The sequence below is a fragment of the Homo sapiens genome, chromosome 11 (genome assembly GCF_000001405.40).
Source record: "Homo sapiens chromosome 11, GRCh38.p14 Primary Assembly".
Taxonomy (NCBI): domain Eukaryota; kingdom Metazoa; phylum Chordata; class Mammalia; order Primates; family Hominidae; genus Homo; species Homo sapiens.
Genome location: NC_000011.10, coordinates 82,723,158 through 82,734,701, shown reverse-complemented (window position 1 = coordinate 82,734,701; position 11,544 = coordinate 82,723,158). Strand labels below are relative to the sequence as shown.

Sequence of the window (11,544 nt, the reverse complement as noted above, 5' to 3'; positions counted from 1 at the left end):
GGGGCTTAGCCAGATCGACTCCTTTCTCCATTGCCTCCTGCTATGTGTTAATAAAAGATGGGCCACTGCTGGCCTCAATTTACTGTTAGCCAATTGTTACTCGTAACAATCAAGTGGCAAACAGTCAAGAAGAAAGAGCACTGGGCTTGAGAATCCTGGGAAAACTCAGGTTAGAATCTTAGGATCAGGTCTAGAGCTTTAAGAAATACTCATTTTCCTTCCCCATCTTAATAGATGAGAAAGGCAAGGGCAAGAGAGGACGCAAGTATTGTCAAGGGCTTAGGAATGGCTTTGGAGTCAGAATGGGCTAGATCTGACTTTGGCCAACTCACTGAACCTCCCTGAGGTGCAGTGTCCACGTTTGTTGAATGGCGATAACATGTAATTCACAGGGCTGTTGTTCAAGGATTAAATGAGATAATAGATGGACAGCGCCTGGCAGAAGCAAGCGCCCAGAAGCTGGTGGGTGTTGTTATACAGCTGGACTGAAACCCACGTCTCTAGACTCCTGCCTTCTTGCCTCAGGAGAGGCACCACCGCAAGTACCTGCAGAAGCCTATCAAGCGCTGCAGCGGCCTCATGGGCCTGAACTGGAGTTTGAGACCAGCCATCTCTTCCTCACCCCTTGCGGTTAGAGGAGTCAAGAGAAACACCACGGGGCAAAGGGAAACGAAGGAGTTAAGGCGTTGAGCTTCAGAAAGCTCAGAAAACTAAAGCGACCCCCCACTCCTCCAAGCCAGGCTAAGTAAGCCCCTCCCCTCTACCACCGGGACGGTCGCCGCGCGCTCCCTCCCTCCGCCCCTTGCTTACAAGACCTAATGAGCTCCCCCGGGAGGCAGCGCAGCGAGCCAGGCCCGGAACTAGTAGGCTGCGCCGCGCGCGCCGCGCCGGGGCGGGAGCTGGGTCTGGGCGGCGGGCAGGAGCTGGCGGGGGCGCACGGGCAGCGCTGCGGACAGCCCGGGAGCCGCGGCGATGGCGGTGCAGGCGGCGCTCCTCAGCACGCACCCTTTCGTGCCCTTCGGCTTCGGGGGCTCCCCGGACGGGCTAGGGGGCGCCTTCGGAGCCCTGGACAAGGGCTGCTGTTTCGAGGACGATGAGACCGGGGCTCCGGCGGGTGCGCTGCTGTCGGGAGCCGAAGGAGGGGACGTGCGCGAGGCCACCCGCGATCTACTCAGCTTCATTGACTCGGCGTCCAGCAACATCAAGCTGGCGCTGGACAAGCCGGGCAAGTCGAAGCGGAAGGTGAACCACCGCAAGTACCTGCAGAAGCAGATCAAGCGCTGCAGCGGCCTCATGGGCGCCGCGCCCCCCGGCCCGCCCTCCCCGAGCGCCGCCGACACGCCAGCCAAACGGCCGCTGGCCGCCCCTAGCGCCCCGACAGTCGCGGCCCCGGCCCACGGCAAGGCTGCCCCCCGGCGGGAGGCGTCGCAGGCCGCCGCGGCCGCCAGCTTGCAAAGCCGAAGTCTGGCCGCGCTCTTCGACTCGCTGCGCCACGTCCCCGGGGGTGCCGAGCCGGCGGGGGGTGAGGTGGCTGCGCCGGCGGCCGGGCTAGGAGGTGCGGGCACTGGGGGCGCGGGAGGGGACGTGGCAGGCCCCGCGGGGGCCACGGCGATCCCAGGGGCCAGGAAGGTCCCGCTGCGGGCACGCAATCTGCCTCCGTCCTTCTTCACGGAGCCGTCCCGGGCAGGCGGCGGCGGGTGTGGCCCGTCGGGGCCGGACGTGAGCTTGGGCGACCTGGAGAAGGGCGCGGAGGCCGTGGAGTTCTTTGAGCTGCTGGGGCCCGACTACGGCGCCGGCACGGAGGCGGCAGTCTTGCTTGCCGCCGAGCCTCTCGACGTGTTCCCCGCCGGAGCCTCCGTACTGCGGGGACCCCCGGAGCTGGAGCCCGGCCTCTTTGAGCCGCCGCCGGCAGTGGTGGGAAACCTACTGTACCCCGAGCCCTGGAGCGTCCCGGGCTGCTCCCCGACCAAAAAGAGCCCCCTGACTGCCCCCCGCGGCGGCTTGACCTTGAACGAGCCCTTGAGCCCCCTGTACCCCGCCGCTGCGGATTCTCCCGGCGGGGAGGACGGGCGGGGCCATTTGGCCTCTTTCGCCCCCTTCTTTCCAGACTGCGCCCTGCCCCCGCCGCCGCCGCCCCATCAGGTGTCCTACGATTACAGCGCGGGCTACAGCCGCACCGCCTATTCCAGCCTTTGGAGATCCGACGGGGTTTGGGAAGGGGCGCCGGGGGAGGAGGGGGCGCACCGGGACTGACTTCGAGGCACGCTTCCCTTCATTAGAGACGGCTGTGGAGAGCGCCGCGCCTCCGTGGGTTTCTCCTAAATCTGAAGAACGATGGGAAAATGCACGTGGAGATGAAACCAGATTTTTAAAAATTCAATTAATAAAAGCAACTTCAGAAAAAAGAGATGAAGACGAGTTGGGGATTGTTTAATCACAACCTCAAGTGTTAAAACAAAAACAAACAAACACGTTTGTAGGTTCTTACTGGACCAGAGGAGTCAAGAAACCAAGATGGTTTGGGGTATGGGGTGGGGACGGCAAAAGGGGTAAGAGCTGGCTTCTGTAGCCACCTGTCCCTTCTATTTTTCAGCGAAGGTCAGTGTATTTAGTGTAATTACCCCTTCTAAACAGTGTCCTAGTCCCTCCCTTCCCTCTCCTTGAGTGCATTTTGAATTAAAGCCTATATTGAAAAGAATGGAGGTGAGACTTACTGATTTGGGTGTTTTCTTACAGGACGGTTTTCCGTCTGGTCGCTTAGCTTTGTTAGGTGAGCCTGTGGCTGAGGGAGGAGGCCGGTGGTCCACTGCTGACCTCCTGTGCTTGTCCTTGGGTAGGGTTCTCTTCTGTCACGGTTTAACTCTTTTTTCTGCCCGCTTCCTGCTTCCATCTCCCTCCACCCTTATCACAGTCCCAGTGCTTACTTTCCTTCTTTCTTTGCCTGGCCTCTCATTATTCTATTTCTTTCGGCCGGCTTTTCTTGCACATCTCTTTTGTAGGAGACTTAAATTTGGCAAACCTGGGTTCCATTTCTCTCCTGTCTTTTCCCCATTTTCCAGCCACTTTGGGAGGGAGAGGGTGGGCAAACTGTAACCTCTTTGTATCAATTTTCGTGATCTGAGAGGGTGAAGACGGTAATGTTCTTCTACTCACTTCACAACTGGTTGGGTAGCTCAGAGGGAAATAAGTAAAATGTCTTGAGGCTGTGGCAGTGCTTGATTGGTTCTGCTGTGTATATATAAATGGTTTCTACACACGGAAACAGAGTTGTGAGTCCCATGCCTTTTTTGGCGGGGGGCTATCTACTTGCCTGGTGATTGCCCTTTCCCTTACAAGCTGTACATCCTCTTTACCATCCCTCCTTCTCTCCTTCCACAGCTCCCCTTCCACCTCTGTTGGTTTCTGCCTCCCTTTGTTTCCTCAGTCCTTATACCCACACTCTCCCCACGGAAGGGCATAAAGAAAGGTGTGAAGTTTCCAAAGGAATTTCTGTTCCCTGAATAGCAGGTCTGATGAATGGAATCTGAAGGGGCTCTGCAGGGAGGAGTATGATCTGTTGTCCGAGGGAGATTTGGGGAAAAAGAAATATTTTTACCAGCCATGAATGTGGCAGAGAGGACACATGGCACCAATAGGTTGGTTAAGGGGCAGGGGAGGAAAGACTGGTGGGAAGTGAGCAGCTGGAGGGAAAAGAGGAGCCCTTGGTGCTGTAGAACTGCGGGGAGAAAGGCATGAAGAGAGCAACGCCCAGAACATCTGAGTGAGAGGCTGCCTTCTGATGATGCTGCAAAGGAGAGCTGCTTGGCTTCAAGGCACCCAGGATTGATTGCAGGAATATCTGGATGTGAGTTAGTTGAAAACCGAGTGTTACCGCAAGAGGTGTAAAAATCCAGGTTCATGTTTGCACACATCAAAAGTATTGTGATATTTTCATAAAAGAATTTCTGGAAAAAATGAGTATTAACCAATGGTAGATGCAACTTTAAATGCTATCAGTAAGTCATTTTCTTCTGAATAAAGCCTTTCTTAAGAAAGCACCACAGGAAATAGAACGAGTACTGTTAATGATGAAAAGAACTTTTGCAACTCCAGAAAGCTAATGTCTATTGGATTTCTTCCAAAGTGGTTAAAGGTGATTAATTCCATTGTGCTAACAGAATATTACTTAATAACGATTTAATTTGTCTAAACTGTTGTGAATACAATCCAGGATACACTTGCACAGTAGGAAAACATTAATAACCCTGTGACTGTTACTAAGACTATAGTGTCATTGTAATGTTTCTTAATTCTCCTCTCCTTTCTTACCTAGTGTAGTAAAACAGGTTATCTCTCTCCTACTGTTTTGCTTGCTATACGTTTAATTAATAATAATATCAACATTGTTTCCGCATCCCAGGCATTTAAGCTAACTCACTGAGCCTCTTAATATTGCCATGATGTAGGTGCTTGATACTGTTTGGATCTGTGTCCCTAGCCAAATGTCATCTCTAATTGTAATCCCCACATGTCGAGGGAGGTCCTAGTGGAAGGTGATTGGATCATGGGGGTGGTTTCCTCCATGCTGTTCTTGTGATAGTGAGGGAGTTCTCATGAGATCTGATGGTTATAAAGTGTGGCACTTCCTTGCTATCTCTCTCTCCTGCCACCATGTAAGACGTGCCTTCCTGCTGCTTCACCTTCTGCCATGATTGTAAGTTTCATGAGGCCTCCCAGCCATGTGGAACTGTGAGTCAATTAAACCTCTTTCATTTATAAATTACCCAGTCTCAGGTAGTATCTTTATAGCAGTGTGAGAACAGACTAATACAGTACTGTCATTATCCCTATTTGAAAACTGAGGCTCAGGTAAGATAAATAGCTTGTCAACAGCAAGTGGTGGATCCAAGATCCAAATATACAAGTGTCCTAATACCAAGACCTGCCTGTTACTTGCCAGGCTCTCCTGTGCTTTGTACATGTGTGTGGTTTCCAGTTCCCTGTATTATGGTACTAGCAGGTTTTTTCAACTTCAGCACTATTGACATTTTGGGTGTCATAATTCTTTGCTGTGGGAGCTATCCTGTGCATTGTAGAGTGTTTAGCAGCACCCCTGGCCTCTACCCATTCGAAGCCAGTAGCACTGCCTTAGTTGTGACAATAGAAAAATATCCCCATTACCTCATGTCTCCCTGGGAGGAAAAATTACTGCCAGTTGAGAACCACTATGCTAGAGAAATGTATATAGAAAGTGTCTGTGGGGTGTTTGGTGCTTTCATATACATTATTTCCTTTGTTCCCTACAGAGGCCTGTGCTTCGGTGTTATTATCTTCATTGTTATAGGTGACAAATAAGAAAGGCCAAGGGGAGGGGCTAAATCAACTTAGGTGCATCTCATCTCTGCTGATTTACCTGCAGTGAACGAGTAACTTAACCAAATTGAAGCATGGTTTATGCATTGGAAAAATTGGATAACGATCGATCACAAAGCGTTATTGTGATTTGGCATAGGGTATATATAAATATCCTCTAAGAGGAAGGGGGCAGTACTTAGTAGCAGACAACCAAGGCTTGGCATTATGTCAAGGTTCCAATCCATCCTGTTACTCAGGTCCCTATGTAGCCCTATTCCTCCCCACCTTGCCTTCCAGTCTGGGCACATAATGTGTCTGACCATGCCGCTTACTGTAGTACAGTAAGTACTGCCCATTAGTAATTGTTTTGCCAAGGACTGAAATTATTGTTTCCTCTGTTATATCAGTTTCTGCTGAAAGCTGTTAGAATCTTTTTTTTAAAAAAAATCTCTTGCTTAGCCACATCCCTGCCCATAGAGAATTCTTTTTTTTTTTTAAGACAGTGTCTCACTCTTGTCACCCAGGCTGGAGTGCAGTGGCGTGATCTCGGCTCACTGCAACCTCCGCCTCCCAGGTTCAAGCAATTCTCCTGCCTCAGCCTCCTGAGTAGCTGGAATTACAGGTACCCACTGCCACACCTGGCTAATTTTTGTATTTTTAGTAGAGACGGGGTTCACCATGTTGGCCTGGCTGGTCTTGAACTCCTGACTGCAAGTGATCCGCCCGCCTCAGCCTCCCAAAGTGCTGGGATTGCAGGCATGAGCCACCACGCTTGGCCAAGAATTCTTTTTAAGTGCAATGGTAGGTATTTTTCAAGACTAGAAATATGCTATAATATGCGTGTAGTTGTATGGCTTTGGACAGGCTGGTATGGCTTTGAACAGGCTGGGTATCCTAACGTGGTAATAATAATTATGCTTGCATGCCTCATAGTCATGATCCTCCATCTCAGCTGGGTGTTCCTTGGTACCTGGAATGTGTTTTAGTGTCTTCCTGTATCCTCCTCATGTCCCAAACCTTTGCGCATCTCCATTCAAGCCTCCACCCTATCCCTTCTCTCACTCCCAGGTCCTGACAAGATGGAGACCATGTGTTGTGACACCCTTCCATTTCCCACCCCACTTTTCCACACAATTTCTCTCTTCAGCAAGCAGGACCTTCTCTTGCCCTCATGGTTCAGGATCCTGCCCCTCCTGCCTCATGAGGACAAGCTGTTGCTCCATCTTCTCCTTATTGGCCATATCTTCAGCCTCATCCTTGCTCCCCACTTTTTTCTCTCATGCTAGAAATAAACGTTTAGCATGATTTTTAAAAGAAAGAACAAAGAGGAATAAGTAAGTGAAAAGCTCTCTCAGCCCTGTATCCCTCCCTAGATATTTCTCCGTCATCTTTTCGTAAGAGTCAACTCTCTGAAAAAGAAGCTACACTTTTTGCTTCTACCTCACCTGCTACATAAACCTTAACTATTTTGAGTCTTAGGGTGACCAACCATTCCAGTTTGCTTGAGACTGTTTCAGTTTTAGCGTTGAAGTTCCACATAACAAGAAATCCCTTAGTTCTAGGCAAATGCCATTTCTGCCCTACCATTTCCCAGGAATTTCTCTCGTGGAAGCTTCAATTACCAAACATGGGGTCTTCAGACTTCAGGGTTTTTTGTTGTTGTTGTTGTTGTTTTGAGACAGAGTATCGCTCTGTCGCCCAGGCTGGAGTGCAGTGGTGTGATCTCGACTCACTGCAAGCTCTGCCTCCTGGGTTCACGCCATTCTCCTGCCTCAGCCTCCCGAGTAGCTGGGACTACAGGCGCCCGCCACCACGCCCGGCTAATTTCTTTTTTTGTATTTTTAGTAGAGAGGGGGTTTCACTGTGTAAGCCAGGATGGCTATGATCTCCTGACCTTGTGATCCACCCGCCTCGGCCTGTAATCCCAAAGTGCTGGGATTACAGGCGTGAGCCACCGCCCCCGGCCAGACTTCAGTTTTTTTGACTTCTGTGCCACATTTAAACAGTTGGGCTCTGTCTCCCTAAAACTCTCCTCTTTGGGTTTTTGATATCTCATTTGCTTTTGGTTTTCCTCATAACTTCCTGGCCATGCCTTCTTCCTCACTGATGTGACCTTATACATTGGTGTGACCCAGGGTTCCCTCACTTCTGTCCTGTATTCTTTGCCCTCCATACATTCTTTCTGGGTGTTAGTGTCTTTTCCCAAGGGATTAGTTATTCTTAATGTTTCAGTGACCCTCAAATCTATACCTGCAACTTTGGCTTCTTTCTTCTGTCCCAGACCCATTACTTGCCTCTTTCCTAGATAGAGTCTCTTGGGGCTCATAAACTCCTCAAACTTTGTGCCCAAAATCGAACACATGCACAAACTGACTAGCCACAGTCAACCTCGCCATACTCTTTTAGCCTGTCCCATCCTGTTCAAATAGTTACCAAGACCTATTTCATATTACCTTCTATGCCAGTGTGTTTTAAATACTTTTATCCATGACCTTCAGAAAAACTTCACTGGACATTATGTGTCAATATATTCATAACCATGTTTATATAAATCCATATTCAGACAAACATCCCCATATTGAATAGTGGAAATATTATTATAATCTATATTAATACTCAATTATGTTTTCATATATAATTGAAAATTTTTTACAGAGCCCAGATTCTTTCTAAGAAGCTATATGTTACACTGATAGTTTATTTTCCATTTGTTAATAAAACCTGGCTATTATTCATTAAGCTGATTTCATGGCTCACTGATAGGTTGGGTCTGCAGTTTGAAAGACACTGTTCTAAGCAACTCTCATCTGTCTCCTCTACTCCTTTACAATGCCACTTCCTTAGTTTGGGCCTTCATTACCCCTCACCTAATCTAGTACCATGATTGCCTAATGACCTCCTTGTCTCTGGGCTCACAATCCTCTCAACCATTCTTCCCATTGCTCGCTGAGGTAATATTTCTAAAAAGCAATTCTGGTGTCTTCACTTCTTTGCTTAAAATCCTTCAATGGCTCCCTGTTACTTCTAGGGTAAAGACTTTGCTTAGAAATGTGGCTTCAGCCGGCCTCTCTTTTCTCATTTACCACTCTCCTAATAGTACCTGTGTTCCAGAAATTTTGTACTAATTGTAGGTGCTTTAATGCTCAATATCCATGTTACCTTCATAAATTCACTCCTTGACTTTCTCTGCTTGCTAATTTTTACTGAGCCTCTCATTCTTAGCCCAAGTGTTACCTTCTGTTTTAAGCTCCCTGAATCAATTAAGCACCTTTACTTTGGAATCTTCTATCACACTAAAAGACCCCAGGTTCTGAGAGCAGTTAATCACACTGTTATAGTAGTCATTTGTTATTCCTCTGCCTCCTTTACTGGAGGCAGGTACTTGCCTCTGCTTTCTTATCACTTTTTGGAATCTGGCAATAGTAATGTGTAACCCATGATGACTGGATGAATTTTATGGAACTTTAGAATTAAATAAGGGACTTTCCACTCACCTTGTCACTTGAGCTTCACCCGAAATGTCAAATGGTCATATAATCATATGCTCCCATTTGTTAAGGACCTATTATACAAAGAGACCCCCTTTTGTGTGGGAATCTTAATTGCAGCAGGAATTATGTATATGGCAAAAATAACCATACCAGTATTTTTATCAAGCCAAAGGGCAGAGTTATTTTTCTTGAAGCAGCGCATGTTATGGAAAGCATAGATGATATTGGTGACATGCTTTGATCATTTGTTCTGCCCATAAAGTGTAACCAGAATGTTCCTCTGTGAGATGAACCACTAGAAGCCCTTCCCTCAGTGAGTCTAAAATTGAGTTGGGCAATTAAGATACAGATATATGAAATGTTCAGTGTCAATCAATATGGGAGTAAAGGAACAATATAATGCACTTTGGGAGGCCGAGGCAGGTGGATCACTTGAGATGAGGAGTTTGAGACCAGCCTGGCCAACATGGTGAAACCCCATCTCTACTAAAAATACAAAAATTAGCTGGGCATGGTGGCACGTACCTGTAATTCCAGCTACTTGGGAGGCTGAGGCATGAGAATCGCTTGAACCTGGGAGGTGGAAGTTGCAGTGAATGCCACTGCACTCCAGCCTGGGTGACAGAGTGAGACTCTGTCTCAAAAAAAAAAAAAAAAGAAACTATAAGAAAATAATCTAAGAGATGTCACAAAACACTAGAGAGTCTAGAGAGTTTAATTGCTAAATGAATGGCATAGGCAGCTTTATTTCCATTTTCAAAAGGTGATGATCCTAGAAACATTCTAAGTTGAAAAAAATCATGTTTACTTTTCCATAGAATGTGATGACAGAGAGAATGAATGAATGAATATGTGATTAGATTCCTAGCACAGGGCTCAAGATCCATTTATTACCTCTAATAAATGTTGTGGGTTGAATTGTGGTCCCCCTCAAAAGATAGTTGAGGTCTTAACTCCCAGTATCTCAGAATATGACCTTATTTGGAAATGGGGTCTTTACAGAGGTAATCAAGTTAAAATGAAGTCACTAGGGTGGGGGATAATCCAATATGATTGGCATCCTTATAAAAAGGGAAAATTTAGACACATACACAAAGGGAAGACAGTGTGAGGACACACAGGGAGAAGACGGCCATGTGACTAGGGCAATGCATCTACAAGCCAAGGTATGGCCAGGATTGCCGGCGACCGCCTGATGCTGGAAAAGCCAAGGAAGGAATCGCCTCTAGAGCTCTCAGAGAACTGTTGGTCCTGCTGACACCTTGAGTTTGGACTTCTTGTCTCTAAACCTGTGAGACAACAAATTTATAGTATTTTAAGCCACTCAGTTTTTGTGTTCTTACAGCAGTCCTAGGCAATTAAAAATACAGCAAATAATGAAGATCAACACAAATACAAATTAATCCTATTTTTTGTGCCACACAAGGCTTCGTGTGCTTAAAAAGGACCTATGTAACCTTAACCACATTTATTTTATTTTAGTGAATACCAGGAAAGGGGCTCCGTACAGATGTAACAAAACGTCTAAAAGCTGCCTGTAATTTGAGGGGTGGACTCTTGGCAGCAAGAATGCTGGAGAGCCAAATGAGCAATTCCATTCCTGCCCAGGCTTAGGTAATTATGAGGCATATCTGGCAGAGTTTGAGTGTAGCTACTTCTTAAGCTCTCTGAGGCTACTGTCGAACCTTATCACATCCAACTCCACTCAGCTGCAAATACTCAGCACCTGGCCAGTAAGAGCCTGTCCTAACAGTGCATGGGGAATCTGTTCCTCAGTAAGAGGTGGGTCTAAAGGCCACCTTGGTATCCAGCAGTGGAGGGAGGGTGGGCGGGCGGGGGAGAAGCTGGCAAGCAACTGTGTGCTCTAGATGGTGCAATTTTCCCCTGTCCCCTTTATGTGTGCTGTGTATGACACGGCTGCTGCCCTGGTTTCCACTGAGGTTCAGCTGAGTTTGGAGCTCTCATGGGATGCTGGGATCACTTAGCTGGGGCCTGGAACCCTTCTTCTTCCCTAGGGTTCAAGCTTGTGAGTGCAGCCACTGTGTGCCTCCTGTTTACTATTGTACACCCAGAGACTACTTGTGTCTGACATACAGGAACTAAAATATTTGTCATATGAATGGACAGTTGTCTTTGCTATCGGCAAGATCCTATCCTTTCTTGCTGCCAGATTCACTGTGAGCTCAGGATACTGCTTCAAGGGAATCAAACATGCCTTGGAACTAGAGTACTGCCTCTCATGTGGCTCCCTTTCATGGAGTCCAACAACTCTGAGTGCCTCCCCTGCCCCTCCTCTTTGCAAATGCATGTTCCAGTCCAGCTTAAAACAGGCCCAAGTCCCACTTGCCTCTAGGACCTCATGACTAATTAGCTTTTCAGGTTCCCAGCCTTAATCATATCTTTAGTCTTGTTTGGGTTTCTTTATACCATCCACCTCACAAAAGACCCCATCTTTCATTTCTCAGAAGGAGTATTTGTTAAAGTCAGAAATTGCTGGAATTGTTAAAAACACACAAAATTAGCTACATGAGTCATGGTTCTATTTGTTTGGCAACAGTATAAAAATAACTTTATTTTTCTCAAGATAGAAAATAGTAGTAAAGAAATGTCAGCCTATCTTAATGGAAAGACCTCTCAACAAAACTAAATAATTTATGTGCTCACATGCCATTTCCATCAAGCTTGTGTGGCCAAGGCTGCTGGTTTATGACATGCAAAG

General features: G+C 47.4%; 1 protein-coding gene across 1 annotated transcript; it reads left to right on the top strand.

Moving 5' to 3' along the window:
• Nucleotides 1-837: 837 nt before the first annotated feature.
• Nucleotides 838-4,762, top strand: FAM181B (family with sequence similarity 181 member B). The gene has a single exon (NM_175885.4). It carries the CDS (start codon nt 973-975, stop codon nt 2,251-2,253), a length of 1,281 nt encoding a protein of 426 aa, NP_787081.2. The 5' UTR covers nt 838-972; the 3' UTR covers nt 2,254-4,762.
• The last annotated feature ends 6,782 nt before the right edge of the window (nt 4,763-11,544 follow it).